This window comes from Homo sapiens, chromosome 17, assembly GCF_000001405.40.
Source record: "Homo sapiens chromosome 17, GRCh38.p14 Primary Assembly".
In the NCBI taxonomy this organism is placed as follows: Eukaryota; Metazoa; Chordata; class Mammalia; order Primates; family Hominidae; genus Homo; species Homo sapiens.
This window is the reverse complement of record NC_000017.11, coordinates 17,299,935-17,324,496: the sequence shown is the minus strand read 5'-3', so window position 1 is coordinate 17,324,496 and position 24,562 is coordinate 17,299,935. Positions and strand designations below refer to the sequence as shown.

The window sequence follows — 24,562 nt, the reverse complement described above, 5'->3', positions numbered from 1 at the left end:
AAGTTTTTTTGTGGGGGGACAGTCTCGCTCTGTCACCCAGGCTGGAGTGCAGTGGCACGATCTTGGCTCACTGCAACCTCCACCTCCCAGGTTCAAGCAATTCTCATGCCTCAGCCTCCCAAGTAGCTGGGACTACAGGCATGAACCACTACACCCAGCTGATTTTCGTATTTTTAATAGAGATGGGGTTTCACCATGATGGCCAGGCTGGTCTTGAACTCCCAGCCTCAGGTGACCCACCTGCATCGGCCTCCCAGAGTTCTGGGATTACAGGCGTGAGCCACCGCGCCTGACCATGAATTTCATTTAAATATGGAATCCAGGCCAGGCACGGTGGCTCACGCCTATAATCCCAGCACGTTGGGAGGCCGAGGCAGGCACATCACCTGAGCTCAGGAGTTCGAGACCAGCCTGGCCAACATGGCAAAACCCCGTCTCTACTAAAAATACAAAAAAAATTACCTGGATGTGGTGGTAGGCACTTGTAATCCCAGCTACTCAGGAGGCTGAGACAGGAGAATTGCTTGAACCCAGTGATCTTGGCAGTGAGCCAGGATCGTGCCATTGCACTCCAGCCTGTGCAACAACAAGAGCAAAACTCTGTCTCAAAAAAAATGGGAATCCAGAGCGGAAAGGTCATGTGAAGAACATGAAAGAACTCATGCCTGAAGGTTTGACGCCCCCAGAGCAGGAGGGGCTCTGGACTGAAGATCTTGCCTTCCTCAGCTCGGGAAGAGCTGCTCCAACGTCCCCAGGGAGGGCCGGCCCTGACCCCTCCGGCATGAGTGCTCTCCTCCAGGGCCACAGACCTTTCCTCTGGGTTTGGCAACTGCAAGTTCCCAATTTCCAGAAAGGTCTCAATTTCATGCAACTCTAATTCTTTTCAATAAAGATAATAAAGTGAGTATACAGCAAAATGAACTTTACCCACCTCACCTTTTTAAGACTTTTCATGTTAATGCATCCACGTGCCTTCAGGCCCTCCCCAGGCATGGTTCTCACCCTTCAAAGGCCTACTCTGGGCCAGGCTAACCTGACACAGTGACAGGCACCCTTCCTGGAGAACCTGCATCATAAGAGGCCCCATCTAGAGCCTCAGGCTGGAGAGGTCCTTGGGGAGCAGAAAGCCGCTGTCACAGAGGTGGGGGAGTGCTGTGAGGGTCCATCCCCTTTCCACAGGCAGGCTGAGCCCCGTACCCCTCACCTGTGATGCATGGGGTAAGGGCTCAGCTGAGCAGACGCACGCCTTACCTTCTCATAGGGACAGTACTTGAACATCTTGATGGGGCTTGTGCAGATGAAGACGTCAGTGCTGTCAACAAGAGAAAGGAGGTTGAGCCTGCAGCCCCATGACTTCACCACCCCGAGGCCTTCACCACCTGCCCTGCCTTCACAGGGCTGGACCCTCTGAGTCTGAACCCTTCCCCTGCTGTGGGAGACCCACTCCCCTGTACTATATCCACACCAGAGGTGTCGGCCTATCCCATGGCCCTGGGCAGCCACATGACCCTACCCAGCCACAGGCAGCCAGCTCTGGGCTGGACATCTGACTGGAGGGCCTCCTGCAATGCAGAGTGGTAAGTCAAGAAATCTATGAGGAAGAAGGATTCTGGCATGCAAGTCCCCTGGCCTGGAGAACACAGAGAAGGAGCCTACTCCATGCCAGGCTAAGCCCTGCAGTGATCGAGTCCCTGAAACACAGGCTTGGCCTTGGCTTGGCTTGGCTCCGCGTGAGGAGCGCCACATCCCCAAGGTCGTAGCTCCGCGGGAGAGCTGACCCAAATGGCCTCCCAGGTGCCTGCGCCCTCATGCCCACAGGGCCCCAGCCCTCACTAATGGAGCCACCTGGTCCCAAACACCCTCATGAGGCTGGCGTTCGCTACTGGAGCCTGTGCCTCCTGCACGTCTTGCTGAGCCTCTGGAAGATGGCACTTTGCTGACGCTTTCTCTCTGGCAAACGCGTCCCTCAACAGGCAGAGGTGAGACTCCCGGGTCCCTGGGCACAGGGTGTGCCCTCTCATTACCTGATACTTGGCACTACCTCCACCAACCACGCAATCCCCTCTCCTAAAGACTCAGCCTCTCCCCAGCATCCTCACTCCTGCCCCAACCAAAACTGGCCTCACACGAAGGGAGCACCTCCCCAACTCGCCTCTGAGTGACAGCTGCCTCTTCCTCATCCCCCACAGACTTCAGAGATGGCAGGTGAGGGCAGCGTCTGCCTTCTCCACTGCTCCTTCCAGATCCCTGATGCCAATGCCCACACTCGACAGCACACCCCTAGAGCCCTTCCTACTCACTGTCACCTACCATTGCCAGTTACTGTCCCTTATGCACCTCACTCGCTGGCTCGCCATCCTCTCCATTCCTGCTCTATCACCATCCTCAGTGACTTGACACACACATGTCCACATATATGTGTGTGCATAGGTACAGATCCAACACCTTGTCGCTCAGTTCCTAACCCTCCCCACCTCCAAACAACTTCCTCTCCACCTCCAAACACCCAACCTCCAATACCTCTCCTAGTGTCACCCCCGGAGCTTGGAATCACTTCCCCCCAAAACCTCGTCTCAGGCTTTGCCTCCCTGGCCACCACCCACGACGCTTCAGCAAATGCATTATCTCATTCTGTACTCAACTCTTCAGCCTCGTGGAGACACCCTCCTTGTCCCAGCTTAGCGGCCTGCCTTCATCCAGCTGGGGCCCAGCCTTCGCTGCCATCCTCTGCTTGTGCTTCTCATCCTCCACCCAGGCCTGTCTGGCCAGGCCCTGAAGGAGCCCAGCTATCCCACTGCTCCCACCTGCACCCAAGCAACTAAATGTTGCCGGAGAAGAAAATTCACATCATCAGTTGGACTTGTTTCACCTTCAATTCCTGACACCAAGCCAGGGCCTGCAGCTGCCTGGCAGCTCTCTTCAATGCCCTCTCTGGTGCTCTGGGCACAGCCAGGACACACCCGCCCCATTTCCTCAACCTTCTTGTGGGTGAGACTCCAAGCCCACCTCATCATGGATCTGGAGACTCACCTGCCGCCGGGCTCACTTCTTCCTCCCTTCCTGCTGCACAGGAGGAAGCCACACCACTCCCTTCTCCTGGGCTCCACCTGTGCCCTGGATCCTCCCCCTCTGCCCTTCACAGACACTATGCCCTGCAATACCCGCTTGCTATCCTTCTCCACAATCCTTATTCAAACGTGTGCTGGAACCTCCCAAATGCCCACTTGCTATCCTCCTCCATGAACCTCATTCAAACGCATGCTGGCACCTCCCGAATGCCCGCTTGCTATCCTTCTCCATGACTCCTCATTCAAACACGTGCTGGCACCTCCCGAATGCCCGCTTGCTATCCTCCTCCATGACTCCTCATTCAAACGTGTGCTGGCACCTCCCGCCTTAGATATATACACACACAGCCTTGACCCCCACATTCCAGCTGCTCCCTTCGAAGCAGAATGTCCCCGACAAGCTGCCTCCACCTACCGACCCCACTCCCTCGCCTCCTGCTCCTGCTTCAATCCACTCTAGACTGGGCCTGCCCCTTCACTCCACAGAAATTGCTCCTTGTCACCAAAGACCCTAGTGTCCCTCTGTCCAATGCCCATCTCACCATCCTCACCCACAGGTACTCAGCCCAGCTGGCCACGCCAGCTCTCCTGGGCTCCCCTATCCTGGGTCCTAGCCTGCGCTCCTGGCCTCCTGATCCTCGCCAGCCACCCAGCCCAGACTCCCCGTCTACTCCTCTCCTGACCGCTCCAGGTTGGGTCTAGGCCCTCGGGGGCTCTCAGCCTGCACTCCTGCTTTAAACACCATGTGCATGCTGATGCGTCCCAACCTCTCCCAGCACCAAGTTTCCACCCACCTGGACGCCTCACACACCTCACACAGGATTTCCAACGTGGGAAACGTGATCCCCTACTCCTAAAGCGTGTCTCTCCCCGAGTCTTCCCTCAGTTCCTAGTCTATTTTAGATAAACAGAGATGATAAAGACAGAGCTCTGCTCAAGCAAAACACCTAAAAATCACCTATTTTTCCTACCTTTATTCCACCCCCAATATCAGATCCATCCCCAGGTCTTATGGGTCCCGCCAAAGCACACGTCATCCACCCACCTCTCTCCACAGACCTCACCCTAGTCAAACTGAGTCGTCTCCCACTGAGCGGCTGCAACCACCTCCACTGACTCTTCAACTTCCAGTTCTCACCCCTCCAAGCCATTTCCACCCAGCATCCAGACCCACTCTTTTTAAACAGCTTTACAGAGGTATAAATAATATAATAATCAACATGCAATAAACTGCACATATTAAAAGGGTACAATTCAATAAATTTGAACATAAAGACATACGTGGGAGGCTGGGCGTGGTGGCTCACGCCTGTAATCCCAGCACTTTCAGTGGCCAAGGCAAGCAGATCACCTGAGGTCAGGAGTTCAAGACCAGCCTGGTCAACATGGTGAAACCCTGTCTATACTAAAAATAGAAAAATAGCCGGACGTGGTGATGAGCACCTGTAGTCCCAGCTACTCGGGAGGCTGAGGCAGAAGAATCACTTGAATCCAAAAGGCGGAGGTTGCAGTGAGCCGAGATCACACCACTGCACTCCAGCCTGACGACAGAGCGAGACTCCGTCTCAAAATAAAGAAAGAAAGAAATATTTAAAAAAAGTAAAAGACACACATGGGAAACCCAGATCACCACAATCAAGAAATAAACACGCCTGCCACCCTCAAAGGTTCTCCTTTGTTATCTCTCCCAGCTGTCCCTCCCGTCCCTCCCTGCCCCTGGGGCCCTAGGCAACCACCCATCTACTTTCCATCAGTACAGATTGGATAGTATTTTCTAGAATGTTACATAAAAGAAAGTATAGTCTATACTCTGTTTTGCCTGGCTTCTTTCATCCAGCAAAACTATTCTGATATTCGCCCATAGTGTTAAATAAATGTATCAACAGTGTGTCCTAATTGTTAAATAAATGTATCAATAGTTTGTCCTAAATTTTTAAATGTTTGAGTAAACATTTCTTAAAAGTTTTACTGAGATAGAATTCATATATCCTAATATTCACCTATTTTAAGTGTATAATTAAATAAATGTTAGTATATTTACAGGGTTTTACAGCCATCACCACAATCGAATTTAAAGACACTTCCATCACCCCAAAAAGAAGCCCCATTCCCATTAAGCAGTCATTCCCACAGCCCCTCCCCACAGCCCGGGGAACCAGGGGCTGCCTAGCTCTAAGGATTTGCCTCTTGTTCAGAAACTTTTTTTTTTTTTTTTCTAAGACGAGGTCTCACTCTTGCCCAGGCTGGAGTGCAGTAGCTCAATCTCAGCTCACTGCAACCTCTGCCTCACAGGTTCAAGCAATTCTTCTACCTCAGCCTCCCCGCAAGCAGCTGGGATTACAGGCACCCACCAACACGCTCAGCTAATTTTTGTATTTTTAGTAGAGGTGGGGTTTCACCATGTTGCCCAGGCTGGTCTCGAACTCCTGACCTCTGGTGATCCACGTGCCTCGGCCTCCCAAAGCACTGGGATTACAGGGGTGAGCCACCACGCCCGCCCCATAATATTTCACATAAATAGAATCCTACAATACGTGGCCTTCTGTGTCTGGCTTCTTTCACTCAGTATCATGTTTTCAAGGTTCATTCATGTTGCCACATGAATGGGTAGGTCATTCCTTTTTTTTTTTTTTTTTTTTTTTTGAGACGGAGTTCTGCTCTTGTTGCCCAGGCTGGAGTGCAATGGCGTGATCTCGGCTCACTGCAACCTCCGCTCCCCAGGTTCAAGGGATTCTCCTGCCTCAGCCTTCCGAGGAGCTGGGATTACAGGTATGTGCCACCACGTCCAGCTAATTTTGTATTTTTAGTAGAGACAGAGTTTCTCCATGTTGGTAAGGCTGGTCTCAAACTCCGGACCTCAGATGATCCGCCCGCCTCAGCCTCCCAAAGTGCTGGGATTACACACTTGAGCCACTGCGCCCAGACTTTTTTTTTTTTTTTTTTTTTTTGAGACAGAGTCTCGCTTTGTTACCCAGGCTGGAGTTCAGTGGCACGATCTAGACTCACTGCAACCTCCCGTTTCCCCAGTTCAAGTGATTCTCCTGGGTCAGCCTCCCAAGTAGCTGGGATTACAGGTGCCTGCCACCAAGCCTGGCTAATTCTTTTTGTATTTTTAGTAGAGACGGGGTTTCGCCGTGTGGCACTGGCTGGTTTCAAACTCCTGAGCTCAGGCAATCTGTCCCCCTCAGCCTCCCAAAGTGCTGGGATTACAGGCATGAGCCACCATGCCCGGCAGTCATTCCTTTTTATAGCTGAAACATATTCCATTGTGTGGCTACGTCACATTTTAAATATCCATCCATCACTTAGTGGATACTTGGGGTTGCTGTGAATAGTGTTGCTGGGACATTCGGGTACTAGTATTTGTTTGAATACCTGTTTTCAATTCCGTGGATATACACCTATGAGTTGAATTGCTGGCTCATACAGTGAGTCTATGTCTAACTTTTTTTTTTTTTTTTTTTTTGATCATGGAGTCTCACTCTGTCACCTAGGCTGGAGTCCAGTGGCATGATCTCAGCTCACTGCAACCTCCACCTCCTGGGTTCAAGCGATTCTCCTGCCTCAGTCTCCCAAGAGCTGGGATTACAGGTGCCTGCCACCATGCCTAGCTAATTTTTGTATTTTTAGTAGACAGGATTTCATCATGTTGGCCAGGCTGGTCTCAAACTCTTGACCTCAGGTGATTCGCCCTCCATGGCCTTCCAAAGTGCTGGGATAACAGGCGTGAGCCACCATGCCCGGCCTAACATTTGGAGGAAATGTTTTTCAAGGTGTTTTTCCACACTGGCTGCACTGTTTTATATTCACACCCACAATGTGAATTGTGGTTTTTTTAGAGACTGTCTCACTCTATGTTGCCCAGGCTGGCCTTCCGGCCTTCTGTTGCCCTTCTCAGCCTTCTGAGTAGCTGGGAGCACAGGTGAGCGCCACTCACCCAGCTCCTCCTTGTGGTTTTGACTTGCATTTCCCTAATGACTGATGATGTTTTCAGGTAGTTACTGGCCATCTGTATATCTTCATTGGAAAAATGTCTATCCAAATTCATTGCCCCAAATCCACATTTTAAAAACCTAAATTGGCCGGGAGCAGTGGCTCACGCCTGTAATCCCAGCACTTTGGGAGGCCGAGGTGGGCAGATCACCAGGTCAGGAGATCGAGACTAACCTGGCTAATACGGTGAAACCCTGTCTCTACTAAAAATACAAAAAATTAGCGGGGCATGGTGGCAGGCACCTGTAGTCTCAGCTACTCGGGAGGCTGAGGCAGGAGAATGGCATGAACCCAGGAGGCAGAGCTTGCAGTGAGCCGAGATCATGCCACAGCACTCCAGCCTGGGCGACAGAGCGAGACTCTGTCTCAAAAAAAAAAAACAAAAACAAAAACAAAAACAAAAAACAAAAAACCTAAGTTATGGCCAGGCACGGTGGCTCATGCCTGTAATCCCAGCACTTTGGGAGGCCGAGGCGGGTGGATCATGAGGTCAGGAGATCGAGACCATCCAGGCTAACAGGGTGAAATGCTGTCTCTACTAAAAATACAAAAAATTAGCCAGGCGTGGTAGCATGTGCCTATAGTCCCAGCTACTCTGGAGGCTGAGGCAGGAGAATCGCTTAACCCGGGAGGCAGAGGTTGCAGTGAGCTGAGATTGCGCCACTGCATTCCAGCCTGGGCAACAGAGCGAGACTCCATCTCAAAAAAAAACAAAAACAAAACAAAACAAAACAAAACAAAAAACAAAACCCTAAGTTATGGCTGGGCACGGTGGCTCACTTCTGTAATCCCAGCACTTCGGGAGGCCGAGGAGAGCTGATCACCCAAGGTTAGGAGTTCCAGACCAGCCTGGCCAACATGGTGAAACCCCATCTCTAATAAAAATACAAAAATTAGCCAGGTGTGGTGGCGGGCGCCTGTAATCCCAGCTACTCAGGAGGCTGAGGCAGGAGAATCACTTGAACCCGGGAGGCAAAGGTTGCAGCGAGCCAAGATCATGCCATTGCACTCCAGCCTGGATGACAAGAGTGAAACTCTGTCTCGAATAAATAAATAAATAAATAAAAACCTAAGTTACAGCTGGGCACGGTGGCTCACGCATGTAATTCCAGCACTTTGGGAGGCCAAGGTGTCAGGAAGTCAAGCGGTTAAGAGGTTAAGACCAGCCTGGCCAACATGGTGAAAACCTGTCTTCACTAAAAACACAGAAATTAGCCAGGCATGTTGGCGAACACCTGTAGTCCCAGCTACTTGGGAGGCTGAAACAGGATAATTGCTTTTACCCGGGAGATACAGGTTGTAGTAGGGAGCCAAGATGGCACCACTACACTACAGCCTGGGGGACAGAGTGAGATTCTGTCTCATTTAAAAAAAAAAAAAAGGCCGGGCATGGTGGCTCATGCCTGTAATCCCAGCACTTTGGGAGGCCAAGGCGGGCTGATCACAAGGTCAGGAGATCGAGACCATTCTGGCTAACACAGTGAAACGCCATCTCTACTAAAAAATACAAAAAAAAATTAGCCGGGCGTGGTGGCAGATGCCTGTAGTCCCAGCTACTTGGGAGGCTGAGGCAGAACAGCATGAACCCGGGAGGCGGAGCTTGCAGTGAGCTGGGATCACACCGCTGCACTCTAGCCTGGGTGATGGAGCGAGGCTGTCTCAAAAAAAAAAAAAAAAAAAAAACAAAAAAACCCTAAGTTAGATCACATCAATCTCTCTTCAACTTCACCCTCCACCCACCCCTGCCACCCCCAACATGCTTCCTAAGTTCCAGTGCCAGCTGTCCAGTTCCTTTATGTTACTCAGACAAACAAAGGCCTGGCCCGGCTCAGGCATTGGCACCTGCTCCTCTCCTGGCCTGCAAGGCCTGTCCCGACTCTTCACTGGCCCATTCATTCTTACTCTTCAGGTCTGATGTCAATTCTCAGCTCCCTAGAGCCAGCTTCCCATTCTACCCAAAGCAGCCCCTTCCCTGTTTCCTCTGCAGCACAGCCCCTTGTTTAGTTCCTTCACTAAGCTTATCACAGTTGGAAATCATTTTAGTTTATATGTTGTCATCTTCCCTGCTGTGAGACCTGCCCTGAAACTGGAGACCTTAGGTGTGTTATTTACATATATATCCCCAGTGCTAGCACAGTACTGGGTGCATATTAAGTCGTAAAATGTATCTGTTTAATGAACCCATGAATAAACTGCCTCTTACTCTAGGCTTCACGACAGTGAGCACCATGTTAAAATCAGGTTTAAGTTCTTATCCTTCTAAATGAGTGGTTTCCTCCAAAATTGTTAAAAAAAAATTTTTTTTTAAATCAACAATTACTGTGGGATTATGCACATGAAGTTATTCATTTGGCAAATATTTTGAGTGTGTGATGTGCCAGGCATCATTCTGGGAACTAAGAATAGAGCCAGAACCAAGACAATCCCTGACCTCAGGGAGCTGACACTCAAAAGAGGAAGGGACAGACACAGACATGCAATTTCAGCTTAGAGTACACACTCAGGGTCATGGGACAGAACGACCAGGAGGGGAGGGCAGAGACCTCAGCTGCAGTGGTCAGGGAAGGCCTCTGTGAGGAGGCAACATGCACGGTTCTCAGTTTGAAAGAGAAAAACAATCTAGCTGTGTAAAGAACTAGGGCAGAAACATTCCAGGAAGATGCAACAAGAACAAAGGTCCTAAGACCAGAAACACGTGTGGCACATCCAAGGGGCAGGAAAGAAGCCAGCGTGACAGGAGCAGAGGAAGACAGAGGTTGGAAAGGAAGGCAGGGTCAGATGGCAGACAGCCTTCCCAGCCTGGCCAAGGGACAGCGGGATTTTACCACAAGATGAAGCCAGCAGAGGGCTTTCAGTGGGGCTAACATCATCTGAATTTGGTTTAAAAAATATCACTCTGACTGCTGGGTGGAGCATATCAATTTGTAAATCTATATTTAAATATGTAGGGGGGTGCACTTCAAAAGGTCTGGAAGCATACACACCAAATTCTTAACTAGAGCAAGAAGAGTGGGCCAAGGTGGGTATATGCAGGGAGAGAGGTCAACTGACACATTTTCACACACGCTCATGCTATTGGAGTCTTTTATAAGAATATATTCGGCCGGGCACGATGGCTCACGCCTGTAATCCTAGCACTTTGGGAAGCCGAGGTGGGTGGACCACCTGAGGTCAGGAGTTAAACACCAGCCTGACCAACGTGGTGAAACCCCGTCTTTACTAAAAATACAAAAAATTAGCCGGGCGTGGTGGCGGGCGCCCGTAATCCCAGGTACTCCAGAGGCTGAGGCAGGAGAATCACTTGAACCCGGGAGGCGGAGGTTGTAGTGAGCCGAGATCGCACCACTGCACTCCAGCCTGGACGACAGAGCAAGACTCCATCTCAAAAAAAAAAAGAATATATTCATATATTCCCGAACAATAAAAAGAATGGTCACCCCTGAAGATATTCCAAACCAAGCTCCTCAGAACCTGAGGCTCTGCCCAGGGAAGCCCTATCTCACGCGCAGAGCTGCTGGAACAGGGCAGGACGTGCCACAAAGGCCATCTCAGGAGAGTCCCCTGGGCGTCTGCTCAACTGTTCCCCTCCTACCTGGAGTCCCCTTGCCCTTCACTACCTGGCAGGTTCCTTTTCATTCCTCAAGATGGCAGCACAATGGCGTGGCCTCCCGGGGAGCAGCAGTTCCTGCCTGCCTGCCTGAGCCCCAACGCCACGATTACTTTGAGATCTATGTTCCAATGTCTGTTTACCAGGGAACTCTTTGAAGGTAAGAACTCTCTTACCTATTTGTGTCCCCGCAGCCCCTGGGATGAGGCTGAGCATGCAGCAGATGCTGGATAAATAGTCATGAGGGTGACTGATCAGCCTTGGTCTCTGCTGCTGGGCCCACATCTCTTGTACTCAGTGCCCACTTCAGCACCAGATACACAGTTATCCACTCAGTTACTGACGAGTCCCTTCGCTTTGTCTAGATACTGGGCACAAACTGACCATAGGAATCTTCTACCAATTTAAGAGCCAAATGGAGATAAAGGACCACTGGGTATGGTCTAGATTTGCATTCCCAAACGGGAATTTCTGCAAAGGTATTAATCGAGAAGCTATGAAAAAATGTTCCAGGCTAGAATACCTTTTTTGGTTTTTGGTGTTTTTTTTGAGACAGATTTTCACTCTTTTTACCCAGGCTGGAGTGCAATGGCGCAATCTCAGCTCACCACAACCTCTGCCTCCAGGGGTTCAAGCGATTCTCCTGCCTCAGCCTCCTGAGTAGCTGGGATTACAGGCATGCCCCACCACGCCCACCACACCCAGCTAATTTTTTATTTTTAGTAGAGACAGGGTTTCTCCATGTTGGTCAGGCCGGTCTCGAACTCCTGACCTCAGGTGATCCGCCCGCCTCAGCCTCCCAAAGTGCTGGGATTACAGGTGTGAGCCAGCACCCGGCCTAGAATATCTTTTTTTAAGAGACGGGGTCTTGCTCTGTTGCTCAGGCAGGAGTACATGGCGTGATCATAGCTCACTGCAGCCTTGAACTCCTGGGCTCAAGTGATCCTCCTGCCTCAGCTTCCCAAGTAGCTAGGACTATAGGGACAGGTCAGCATGCCTGGCTTCTTTTTATTACTATTATTATTTTTTTTTAGTAGAGACAGGAGCTTGCTGTGTTGCCCAGGCTGGTCTCAAACTCCTGAGCTCAGGTGATTCTCCTGCCTCAGTCTCCCAAAGTGATGGGATTACAGGCATGAGCTACCAAACCCCACCCAGGCTAGAATACATTTTTTTTTTTTTTTTTTGAGATGGAGTTTCACTCTTGTTGCCCAGGCTGGAGTACAATGGCGCAATCTTGGCTCACCGCAGCCTCCACCTCCCAGGTGCAAGCAATTCTCCTGCCTCAGCCTCCCGAGTAGCTGGGATTACAGGCATGCACCACCATGCCTGGCTAATTTGTTTGTATTTTTAGTAGAGACGGGGTTTCTCCATGTTGTTCAGGCTGGCCTCGAACTCCTGACCTCAGGTGATCTGCCCACCTTGGCCTCCCAAAGTGCTGGGATTACAGGTGTGAGCCACCGTGCCTGGCCGCTAGAATACTTTTGAAGAAAGCTGCATCCCTTACTACCCCAATGCAGTGTCACAAAGCACACAAGCACTTAAAAGCTCTGAAAAGTACTATGGTGAAGAAGCCAATCTAATCCATTGTTTCCCATACCGTGGTGGCTTAAGGATGCCTTTCTTGCGATATGCCTATTAAATCTTACAGAGCGGCAACAGCAGCAGCTAGCATTTGCTGAGCACCTGCTATGTGCCAGGCACATATACTGAGGACTTTCTCCTTATCTCCATTTTACTGAAACCCAGAAAGTTTAATAACTTGCCTGACATCTGGGAATGAGATTCTGGGGAAGTGAGGATGTGAGCCTGGGCAGCCAATGTCCAGAACCCCACTCCAAACCACTGTGCCCTGCAGCTCCCCAGGACACAGTCATGTGGCTGCAGGTCAGCACATGCTGATCCAGGCCACGAGCAGGGTTTTGAAAGCTTAAGTGTGAATGCTGTACACATATTCTTTGCCTCTCAGACTCCTGCTACAGGAACACGATACATCAAGTTCATACCATAAACCAGAATAAAATTCACTACTCTGCAGGACTTGGACTCACATCCAAAGATAAATTACTACCAAATAAGGTCTACGATTCAACTCAAACTCTGTATTTTGTGTTTCTCTGACACCTATTTATCATATTAGAACTTTAAAAGTTGACAATTTTTAGAGGCATTTATATGACACAATGAAGGCCAAATCATACCTTACATTTGTCATTCAGGTTGCTAAATTCAAGCAAAAATGTGGCCAATAAAAGTTATCTAAGTCTAGAAATAAATCCTTATATTGATGCTCAATTAATTCTCAGCAAGAGTGTGAATACAATACAGTGGGAAAAAAGTAGTCTTTTCAATAAATGAAACTGGGACAACAAGATATCTACATGCAAAAGAATGAAGTTTGACCCCCTACCTCACACCATATACAAAAATTAACTCAAAATGGATCATAGGCCTAAATGGAAGAGCTAAAACTAAAACTCTTTTTTTTTTTTTGAGACAGAGTCTCACTCTGTCGGCCCAGGCTGGAGTCCAGTGGCGCAATCTTGGCTCACTGCAAGCTCCGCCTCCCAGGTTCACGCGATTCTCCTGCCTCAGCCTCCTGAGTAGCTGGGACTACAGGCGCCCACCACCACACCCAGCTAATTATTTTTGTATTTTCAGTAGAGACAGGGTTTCACCGTGTTAGCCAGGATGGTCTCGATCTCCTGACCTCATGATCCACCCGCCTCGGCCTCCCAAAGTGCTGGGATTACAAGCGTGAGCCACCGCGCCCGGCCCAAAACTAAAACTCTTAAAGAAAACACAGGGGCAAATCTTTGTATTTTTTGTATTTTTAGTAGAGATGGGGTTTCACCATGTTGGCCAGGCTGATCTTGAACTCCTGACCTCAGGTGATCCACCTGCCTTGGCCTCCCAAAGTGCTGGGATAAGAGGCGTGAGCCACTGTGCTCAGCCGAATCTTTTTCTTTTTAGACAGGGTCTCGCTCTTGTCACCTAGGCTGGAGTGCAGTGGTGTGAACTTGGCTCACTGCAAACCCTCCCCCTCCCCCCACTCTCTCCACCCCCCTGAGGTTCAAGTGATCCTCCCACTTCAGCCTCCCAAGTAGCTGGGATCACAGGCACGCACCACTATGCCTGGCTATTTTTGTTGTATTTTTAGTGGAGGCAGGGTCTCCCCATGTTGGCCAGACTGGGCTCAAATTCCTGAGCTCAAGTGATCTGCCTGCCTCGGCCTGCCAAGTGCTGAGATTACAGGCCTAAGCCACCACACCTGGCCTCAAGCATCTTTTTATGTGCTTATTGGACATTCTAAATTTTCTTTAAAGAAATGTTCATTCAATCCTTTGTTGAGGTTTTCAATTGGTTTGTCTTTTTTTACTGTTAGCTTTTGGACAAGGTCAGGCACAGGATAACTTACTTTTGGGTATAACACTACATTTTTGTATTTTTTGTAGAGACAGGGTCTCACTATGTTGCCCCAGCTGGTCTTGAACTGCTGGCCTCAAGTGATCCTCCTGCCTTGGCTTTCTGCTGAGATTACAGGCATGAGCCACTGTGCCTGGCTTTTTTTCATTGTTAACTTGGAAGAGTTCTTTATATATTCTAGATACAAGTCTCTTATCAGATACATGATTTATAAATATATTCCCTCATTCTGTAGACTTTCATTTCAATTTCTTAATTTTGTCCTTAGAAACACAAAAGTTAGGCCGGGCGAGGTGGCTCACGCCTGTAATCCCAGCACTTTGGGAGGCTGAGGAGGGTGGATCACGAGGTCAGGAGATCAAGACCATCCTGGCTAACATGGTGAAGCCCCGTCTCTACTAAAAATACAAAAAATTAGCCAGGTGTGGTGGTGGGTGCCTGTAGTCCCAGCTACTCGGGAGGCTGAGGCAGGAGAATGGCATGAACCCAGGAGGCAGAGGTTGCAGTGAGCCAAGATTGTGCCACTGCACTCCAGCCTGGGCAAAAGAGTGAGACTCCGTCTCAAAAAAAAAAACAAAAACCACAAAAGTTTTTACTTTTGGCGTAGTCCAATTTTTGTGTATTTCTCTTTTGTCACTTGCATTTTTGTGTCATATGAAGAAGCCATTGCTGACCCAAGGTCAGCAACTCTGTCTCAAAAACTCTGTCTCAAAAAAAAAAAAAAAAAAAAGATGCTTGAGCATCATTAGCCATCAGAGAAATGCAACCCAAAATTCACAAAATCACTTCACACCCACAAGGATGGCTAAAGTAAAACAGAAATTAACAAGTGTTGACAAAGATGTGGAGAAACTGAAACCTTCATATGATGCTAGTGGGAAATGTGCAATAGTACAATTGCTTTGGAAAATAGTTTGACAGTTCCTCAAAATGTCAAACACAGAATTATCCTATGGCCTAACAATTCCATTCCTAGGTATATTCTCAAAAGAATTGAAAACATCTGTAATCCCACCACTTTTGGAGGCTGAGGCACGAGAACTGCTTGAGCCTAGGAGTTTGAGACCAGCCTAGACAACATAGGTAGATCCTACCTCTACAAAAAATGAAAAATTAGCTGGGTGTAGTAGTGTGCATCTGTGGTCACAGCGACTCTAGAGGCTGACGCAGGAGGATCATTTGAGTCCAGGCGGTAAAGGCTGCAGTAAGCCATCATCATGCCACTGCACTCCAGCCTTTTTGAGATAGGGCAAGACCCTGTCTCAAAAAAAAAAAAAAGAAAGAAAGAAAAAGAATTGAAAACAAGATTCAAACAAATATTTACACGAATGTTCATAGCAGCACTATTCCCAATAGCCCAAAAGTGAAAACTGCCCAAACATCTATCAACTGATAAATGGATCAATACATGTAGTCCATACATTAGATCCATACATATCCAATGGCTGGAATATCATTCAGCCATAAAAATAGTAAGTATTGATAGATGCTGCAACATGAATGAACCTTGAAAACATGTGCTAAATGAAAGAAGCCAGACCCAAAAGACCACATATTATATGATGCCATTTATATGAAATCCCCAGAATAGGCAAATTCCTAAAGACAGAAAGTAGATTAGTGGTTGCCAGGGGCTGGCAGGGAGCACAGGAATGGGGGTGACTGCTGATGGGTACAGGGTTTCTTTTGGGGATGATGAAAAAGCTCTGAAGCGGATATGATGATGGTTGCACAACTTTGTGGATGGTTTTGTAAAACCACTGGATTATATACTTCAAATGGGTGGACTGCACGGTATGTCTCTTTTTTTTTTTGAGACAGAGTTTCACTCTGTTGCCCAGGCTGGAGTGCAATGGTGCAATCTTGGCTCACTGCAACCTCCGCCTCCCAGGTTCAAGAGATTCTCCTGCCTCAGCCTCCCGAGTAGCTGGGATTACAGGCACCCGCCCCCACGCCCAGCTAATTTTTGTATTTTTAGTAGAGATGGGGTTTCACCATGTTGGCCAGGCTGGTCTCGAACTCCTGACCTCTTGATCCGCCCGCCTCGACCTCCCAAAGTGCTGGGATTGTAGGCATGAGCCACGGCGCCCAGCTGGTATGTCATTATTATATGTCAATAAGGCTGTTTTTAAAAATCTCTCAGGGAAGCACATCCTCTGTAATTGTCAACAGGTCACTGAGTGGGGGCTTCAGTCCATAAAACTACTCATTTCACCAGAACAAAACAGAAATATCTCAAGCAATACTACTTCTCTTTCCTTAAACACTTTTTCTAAATGAAGTTTCCCGCTGAACCTCTTTTCCTTCAGCTCTTTGGACAATCTGCAAGTGTCTTCACTTTGTGATTCTTTTTTTGAGACAGAGTTTCAATCTTGTTGCCCAGGCTAGAGTGCAATGGAGCAATCTCAGCTCACTGCAACCTCCACTTCCTGGGCTCAAGCTATTCTCCTGCTTCAGCCTCCTAAGTAGCTGGGATTACAGGCGCCCACCACCACGCCCAGCTAATTGTTTGTATTTTTAGTAGAGACAGGGTTTCTTTTTTTTTTTGGAGGCAGAATCTCGCTCTGTCGCCTAGGCTAGAGTGTAGTGGCGCGATCTTGGCTCACCGTGCAACCTCCGCCTCCTGGGTTCAAACAATTATCCTGCCTCAGCCTCCCAAGTAACTGGGACTACATGTGCATGCCGCCACGCCCAGCTAAGTTTTTATATTTTAGTAGAGACGGGGTTTCACCATGCTACGCAGGCTGGTCTCAAACTCCTGAGTTCAGGCAATCCACCTGCCTCAGCCTCCCAAAGTGCTAGGATTACAGGCGTGAACCACCGTACCTGGCTGAGGCAGGGTTTCATCATGTTGGCCAGGCTGGTCTCGAACTCCTGACCTCAGGCAATCCACCTGCCTCAGCCTCCCAAAGTGCTAGGATTACAGGCGTGAGCCACCGCGCCCGGCTGAGATAAGGTTTCATCATCTTGGCCAGGCTGGTCTCGAACTCCTGACCTCAGGTGATCCACCTGCCTCGGCCTCTCAAAGTGCTGGGATTACAGGCGTGAGCCACCGTGCCCGGCCATTTTGTGATTCTTTAATGTCTGCTCTGTCTGGACTAGAAGCTCCATGAGGGCAAGGACTATACTTTGCTCATTGCTGAAACACTGCGGCCTGCAGTATCTAGCACAGTCAGTTCTGAGATATTTGCTGAATAAATGAGCTTTGAGATGGAGTTTCGCTCTTCTTGCCCAGGCTGGAGTGCAATGGCGCGATCTCGGCTCACCACAACCTCCACCTCCCGGGTTCAAGCGTTTCTCCTGCCTCAGCCTCCTGAGTAGCTGGGATTACAGGCATGTGCCACCATGCCCGGCTAACTTTTTTATTTTTAGTAGAGATGGGGTTTCTCCATGTTGGTCAGGCTGGTCTCAAACTCCCGACCTCACGTGATCCGCCCGCCTCAGCCTCCCAAAGTGCTGGGATTACAGGCATGAGCCACCACGTCCGGGCATTGAATAAATGAGCTTTGAACACCCAGGGAACCAGATCAAATTAAACTGGGTATTTCCTCAAGTTCCTGGATCAAAACATCACAGCCTACAAACCGAGATCATTGTATTTGGTGGTTTTCCCCAGGCTCAGCAATGACGAGGCAAGTGCAGCCTTGCGCAGGGCCAAGGAGAGAGAAAGGAGAAGGCAGAGGAGGGAAGAAGCAGGAAGGAGGTACAGGGCTCAGTGGCTGCTCAGACAAACTTACTGAGTGGCTGGGAGGACAAACTTACTTTTGTAGGCTGGCCATCTCCTTGACAGCTTCCACGGCCCCTGGCAGAGGCTCAAGTTCAAAAAAGAAATTCTTTGACTCCCAAATGCTGATGGCCTTCTCCTGAGAAGTTGAGAAAAGCAAGTTACTTCCAGGGTCCTCAGCACCTTACTGCCCTCATCTTGGGGAGTATGGCCAGGCTATAGGGGGAGTGGTTCTTCATTCCTCTCACTCCCCCAAACACACACCCAAGGACGTACTTCCTGGGGGTAGTGCGGAGAGTATGTGGACTTCGAACCCCTTTCCAGAAAGGACCTGACTTCGTCGGGATCCAGCAGAGACCAGCAAAGGTGTCAGGCCCATGGACTCCTACACCTGCTGGAGCTCTCTGGGACCTGAGGCCAATCATCAGGAACTGCGTGCTTGTTAGGCTGGATTCGAGTGGCCAAAAGCATTGTGGAAACTGAGGCTGGACCAGCTCTTACCATGGTAGTAGAGTCCTTAAACTTGAGAACTGGAGGGACTCAGAGATCTTTAAGGTGCCATGAGGGACAAGGGGGAGGGGGAGACAGGGTAAAAGGACAATTCAGGGAGCTCGAGGATCCTCCCCACATTAACCAGAAGAGCTCTGCTTTTATCGGTTTTATATGTTGAGGTGCCAATAAGTACATTTTTAAAAAAAGGATTCTGCTGCTTTTAGAGTTGCAAAGCAAAAATGCAGACCCTCATTTTACATGTCAGAAAACTGAGGCTCAGAACGGGGAAGAGATCCACCTGATGTCACACAGCAAAACAGCAGCTGAGCTGGGAGAAGAACCCCCAACACCAACCCTCTCCTCCCCACTCCCCAACCCCCGCTGCCTTTCTCCTTCCCCTGTTCTGCTGCAGGGCCAGAATGCAGCACCTTTTCTAGGGTCAGGCAAGGGGAAAGTGACAACCAGAGGGGAGACACATCTCAGCCTATGAGCAGGAGCCTAAATCCCACGTGTGCAGTACAGGAAGTGCCTCTACCAGCTGTTCTGCACACTACAGAAAGACAGCCACCCTGTCACATGGACGGCCGGAGGATGCCCTGACAGCATACCAGCAACACTCTCAGGAACCACAGGGACTAGGCAAATGCGTGCTTATTACTGAAACACATTTGATCCTCACATCCCACATAGGGTACTGTGAAGACCAAAGGGAATACAGACAGAGCAGAATTTTGAAAAGTAGAAATGCCTACATACACATAAGGAGCCACGTGTGTGGGGGCGGGGGGGGGGGGGCGGTTGTTTTAACCACAGATACTGGGCCAGCTTGGGGTAGGCCCAGGGATGTCCACAGCAGCAAGCCGTGCCTCAGGAAGGGAAGTAGTGGAAGCCAGCAGATTACTCCCAAGGCACCCTCCTTACTGCCCCGTGCCTTTGCCTTGTGCTTGGAAACCAGTAACCCCACACGTACAGAGCCTACATATTTGCACAAAGAACTGGAAAAGCTGCTGCACTTTTCGGAGTTGGGGGTGGGCTTGGTTTCCACGTTAATACACTCCCGGGCGGATATATGGTGTCCAGACTCCCCATGCCGAGCGCTGCCTATAAATGAACACTCGCCACACACTGGAGCCTATTCCTGAGGCTGCAGAAAGTACCAGGGCATTTTCTCCAGTTTAAAGTTTATCATTAGGCATCCGCTGTAGAAGAGCTCAGCACACTGGGCTCTGTGAAAGTCACCTTCTGAAGTGCCTGGTGTTGATGGAGACAAACGGTACTTGGTTTCCTTTTTTAACACCTGTCCCTCAACAAACCACATTACTGATGAGGCATCTTTCTGATGTCAGAAGAAATGTCACTTGTTAGAGACAGTAGTACAGAGAACAGGACTGTGGAGTGGGGAGCACTAACTGTGCTTGGGAGGCAGACAGACTTGGGTTTGAGTCCTGACTGAGCCCCTGAGCAGCATGTGACTTGGGGCAAGTTTCCTCATCTGGAAAACAGAGATAATAATATCTACCCAACAAAAGAGAGGATGCAGTGAACTTGTGGCTAAAAAACGGGCTCTTGTAACTTCCTTCTCCTCTTTATCAAACCCTCCAGCAGCAACCCTAGGTGGCCAATCAAGGGATGCCAAAAAACACTCAGCCTCTTTAATTTTGTGCATACCAAAATCCCCTGTTCCTTTTGCAAAATACTTCAAATTTACCAACCAAGATCTGTGTGTAAACGTCCCTCCTTGGATCTTTCCCCTCTATCCATCCTGGACAGAACACCTCGGGAGTCGGATGGTAGGGGTTGAGCTCAGGTGTTCAGCAAGGCCAGCTCTGCAAGGGGATAAGACATGAGGTGGATCCCACCTCACCTGGACCACTGACTCACTGTGTGACCCCCAGAAAGTCACACAACCTCTCTGGGCCTCAAATACCCCTGGAAGCTATGCTTTCATGGACAACAGTAAAAAAGATGGGTAAAGACACCCATCAAAGTCCTGGGGACAAAGAAGTGGGAATGTGACTGCGGTCGGGGTGAAAGAGGACAACTTATAACGTTTATTTTTCTAAAAATTTAACAAACGACTTGAGGCCAAATATGCCACAAATTTTGAAGTCAGCTTTAAATGCAGAGTTAGGTATATTAACACTTTGTACTCTCCCGCATTTTCAGAAACCTTGGATGGCAGCCAACAGATCCTGAGCGCGGGGCCGCATCTTCCCGGTGCGCTGTGGCCCCTAGTCCCCCCCAGACCCTATTCTATCAGAGGGCCACCCCGAGGCTGGGGCGCTGACCGTCCAAGGTCACCGGCGCAGGGGCGGTGTCTGGGGCTCGGGGCGAGAAGGAGGCCCGGCGCGGGGCGGGGCGGGGACGCTCACGCTCAGCCCTGGCCGCAGGCGGCCGTACTGCTCCGACACCCAGAAGCCGCGCCGGTCCTCCAGCGCGATGAAGGGCTGGTCGGGAAAGCGCGCGCGGAACTTCCTGAGGAATCCGCCCTCGAAGTCAGCCAGCACGCCGTCCATGTCCACCAGCACCCGTAGGGCGCGGCCTCCCGCCAGGCCCAGCCCGCCCGCCGCCCCGCGCCGCCCCGCGGGAACCGCCGCGCTGCAGAGCCGCCGCGCACACCAGCCGCCCAGCCGGATCATGGCCCAGCGCGCTGGCCCGTCGTGGGCGCGGGGACCTGGGCCGCGCCGTGCTGCCGGAGCCGGCCAGACATTCCCGCCGCGGAGGAGAAGCCCCCAACGCTGGGGCGCGCGTGGAGCGCGGGACGGGGAGCGGGGCGGGGAGCGCGGGGTGCGGGCGCGCAAGTACCGGCCCCAGAGCGAGGCCGCGGCGCGCGCGGTCCCTAAAGGAACACGCGCCGGCGGAGGCGGAGCCCCGGGGCGGGGCTTCGAGGACGGACAGCGGTAAGCGCCGCGCGCCTCCAGAAGGTCCGCGCTCCCGCGCTGTCGATTTGCGTCTTCTCCGTGGACCCTGGGCCCGGGCTGCCTTCTCCCACTGCACAGACTACCATGGAGGAGCAGTGCAAACCGAGAAGCAGGCCTGTGTCGTTAGACATTTTTGAGCACTAACTGTGTCGAGTGTGAACCAAATAGACAAAGTTCCTGCCATCCTGGAACTTACGTTTTAGAAGGGGATCCAGACAACAGGATGGAGGAACAAAAACAGGGTGCACTCTGAAAGCCTCTCTGCTTTATTTACAGCAAATGTCTGCGGAGAGACTGATAGAACCAATATCTGCTAACATCATACAGCCTTAGTAAAACTGATGATTCTCAGGTAAATATATGAATAAATATTAAGTACCCCTGTATTGCTTTTTTTTTTTTTTTTTTTTGGAGACGGGGTCTTGCTCTGTTACCCAGGGTGGAAGCAGTGGCATGATCTCGGTTCCCTGCAGCCTTGAGTTTCTGGGCCCAAGGGATCGTCCTGCTTCTGCCTCCTGAGTAGCTGGGACCACAGGGGCCTGCCACCACACCCTGGTAATTTTTTTTTTTTTTTTTTTTTTTTTGAGACAGGAGTCTTCCTATGTTGGGCTCAAACGATCCTCCCACCTCAGCCTCCCAAAGTGCTGGGATTACAGGCGTGAGCCACCGCGCCCGGCCTCTTTTCAACTTTTAAGTACAGGGATACATGTGCAGATTTGTTATATAAATTGACTGTCTTGGGGGTTTAGTGTACAGATTATTATTACCCAGGTAATAAGCGTAGTTCCTGATAGGTAGTTTTTCCATCCTCACCCTCCTCCCACTCTCCACCCTCAAGTAGGTCACCGTGTCTGTTGTCCCCATCATTACGTCCATGTTTACTTAATGTTTAGTTCCCGCTTTTAAGTGAGAGCATGAGGTATTTAATTTTCTGTTCCTGTGTTTGCTTAGGATAATTGTCTCCAGCTCCATCCATATGGCTGCAAAAGACATGATCTTATTCTTTTTTTATGACTGTGAAGTATTCTATGGTATATATGTACCACATTCTCTCCCTTTTTTTTTTTTTTTTCTTGATAGGGAGTCTTGCTCTTGTTGCCCAGGCTGGAGTGCAGTGGCAGGATCTCGGCTCACTGCAACCTCCACCTCCCAGGTTCAAGCGATTCCCCTGCCTCAGCCTCCCAAGTGGCTGGGATTACAGGCGCCCACCACCACACCCAGCTTTTTTGCATTTTTAGTAGAGACAGGGTTTCACTATGTTAGCCAGGCTGATCTCCAACTCCTGACCTTGTGATCTGCCCGCCTCGGCCTCCCAAAGTGCCGGGGTTACAGGTGTGAGCCACCGCACCCGGCCGATTTTTGTATTTTTAGTAGAGACAGGGTTTCACCATGTTGGCCAGGCTGGCCTCAAACTCCTGACCTCAGGTGATCCGCCCCACCCCCCTCGGCCTCCCAAAGTGCTGGGATTAAAGGCGTGAGCCACTGCACCCAGCCTGTGTTACAGCTCTTTTAGCCCCACCATTTGGCAGGTCCCGAGTTCTTGTCCTGCATCCAGGAAGAATGGGGTAGGCAGACAAGTGGAGAGTGAGCAAGACGAAGAGGAGCTTTATTGAGCAACAGAATACTTCAGAAGAGACCTGCAGTGGGCAGCTCCTCTCCATAGCCAGGGTTTCCCCACAAGTGTTCAGCTTTCAGCAGAGAGGGTAGCTCCTCTCTGGTAGGCAGTTCATCCCAACAAGTGTCCAGCTCTCAGCAGAAAGGGTAGTTCCTCTCTGCAGCTGGTTTTCTCCCCATCTACCCGTCCTCTCTTTGAGTCTGGCTGAGTCCAGGGTTTTTTATGGACCTCAGAGGGGAAGAAGTGAGTGCTGATTGGTCCATGGGCGGCCATAGGTGGCCATGAGCAGGCCTGGGGAAAAGCACCACAAGTTCCCCGCTCTGGTACTGGGACTGGTGACCTGGCCCCCAGGCTTCAGGCCCTTCCAGGATTGAAGGTGGGGCTTCACCAGGGACCCGCCCCCTTCCACCGAGGAGCTGTCTGCATTCCTGCTGCTGTTCATGGCGCCCAGGCTGTTCATGCCAAGGGGTACCTGCAGGCCAACACCAGGCTGTCCTCATGCCCCCCTCGGCCGTTCTCCGATGCTTGTTGGCACCCAAGTCCGGAGGGGGCCAAGGAGGCAGGGGGCTGGCGTGTCAGTGCTGCCCTGAGCGTGTGCACTCCCGGCTGGGCTGTGACGGCGCCCTAGCTCGGCCCGACTTTGCTCCGAGATTGAAGCAGGCACCAACAGCAGGGAGAAGCCAGGCAGCAGGAGCAGGCACTTCCGAGCCTGCGAGGGGCAGTGGAGCCTTCACAGGTTCCCAAGAGCACAGAGATGCTGGGCCAGAGCCGCAGCAGGGCAACTGCAGCGGCATCTGGGGAACTCCCGCCCCGCCAACTCAGAAGGGGCGGGGCTCCTGCTGTGCCTTCTATATTGGGTTGCCGTTGCAGTTTTTTAAAAACTCCATCCATCAGGCCGCGCACGGTGGCTCACGCCTGTAATCCCAGGATTTGGGAGGCCGAGGCGGGCGGATCACCTGAGGTCGGGAGTTCGAGACCAGCCTGACCAACATGGAGAAACCCTGTCTCTACTAAAAATACAAAATTACCCGGGCATGGTGGCGCATGCGTGTAATCCCAGCTACTCGGGAGGCTGAGGCAGGAGAATCGCTTGAACCCGGGAGACGGAGGTTGCAGTGAGCAGAGATCGCTCCATTGCACTCGAGCCTGGGCAACAAGAGTGAAACTCCGTCTCAAAAACAAACTCCATCCATCCTATTTCTGTGGATCTATTTCTAGACTCTCCTATTCTGTTCCATTGATCTGTATGTTTCTCCCTTTGCTATTAGCAAACTGTCTTGATTACTTTAGCTTCATAGTAAGTCTTAATATTAGGTATTGTGAGTCCCACAACTTCTTTTTCAAAATTGTTTTAACTATTCTAGTTTCATTGACTTTCCATATAAATTTTAGAATGAGCTTGTCTATATCTACACACACACACACACACACACACACACACACACACACACACACAAAACTTCCTTGGTTTGGTTGGAAGTGCACTAAATCTGTAGATCAATTCGGAGTGACTTGACTTCTTAATTATGTTGACTATTCCAATCCATGAACACAGTATATCCCTCTTTTCTTTGGCTTCTTACACCAATGTTTTGTAGTTTTCAGTATACAGATCCTGCATGTGTTTTGTTGATTTATACCTAAATATTTCACTTTTTGGTTTGTTTTGTTTTGTTTTTGTTTTTTGAGACGGAGTTTTGCTGTCGTTGCCCAGACTGG

General features: G+C 50.3%; 1 protein-coding gene across 11 annotated transcripts in view, besides 4 other annotated features; it reads right to left on the bottom strand.

The window, feature by feature from the left end:
- Positions 1 to 21,124, bottom strand: part of NT5M (5',3'-nucleotidase, mitochondrial) — a 44,291-nt gene extending 23,167 nt beyond the window's left edge. For 10 of the 11 annotated variants that reach the window (XM_047436421.1, XM_047436419.1, NM_001438936.1 and 7 more), the window contains exons 1-3: positions 20,680 to 21,124; positions 17,854 to 17,954; positions 1,252 to 1,312 (exon numbers count right to left, since the gene is read on the bottom strand). In XM_047436421.1, the coding sequence (XP_047292377.1) occupies positions 1,252 to 1,312; positions 17,854 to 17,954; positions 20,680 to 20,946 (429 nt within the window). In that variant the 5' untranslated portion in view covers positions 20,947 to 21,124. Of the gene's footprint in view, positions 1 to 1,251; positions 1,313 to 17,853; positions 17,955 to 20,019; positions 20,134 to 20,595; positions 20,649 to 20,679 lie in introns of those variants that run through there. The other variant, XM_011523964.2, reaches the window with a different exon arrangement.
- Positions 20,555 to 20,744: a silencer, noted in NCBI's record as "silent region_8242". NCBI's record gives its function as "represses an Ori minimal core promoter by ATAC-STARR-seq in GM12878 lymphoblastoid cells {active_cell/tissue: GM12878}" and the evidence as "EXISTENCE:reporter gene assay evidence [ECO:0000049][PMID:35858748]".
- Positions 20,875 to 20,974: a silencer, noted in NCBI's record as "silent region_8241". NCBI's record gives its function as "represses an Ori minimal core promoter by ATAC-STARR-seq in GM12878 lymphoblastoid cells {active_cell/tissue: GM12878}" and the evidence as "EXISTENCE:reporter gene assay evidence [ECO:0000049][PMID:35858748]".
- Positions 21,025 to 21,194: a silencer, noted in NCBI's record as "silent region_8240". NCBI's record gives its function as "represses an Ori minimal core promoter by ATAC-STARR-seq in GM12878 lymphoblastoid cells {active_cell/tissue: GM12878}" and the evidence as "EXISTENCE:reporter gene assay evidence [ECO:0000049][PMID:35858748]".
- Positions 23,168 to 23,743: an enhancer, noted in NCBI's record as "H3K27ac-H3K4me1 hESC enhancer chr17:17204068-17204643 (GRCh37/hg19 assembly coordinates)". NCBI's record gives its function as "activates a minimal SCP1, AML or CMV promoter by ChIP-STARR-seq in primed H9 embryonic stem cells {active_cell/tissue: H9 hESC(primed)}" and the evidence as "EXISTENCE:reporter gene assay evidence [ECO:0000049][PMID:30033119]".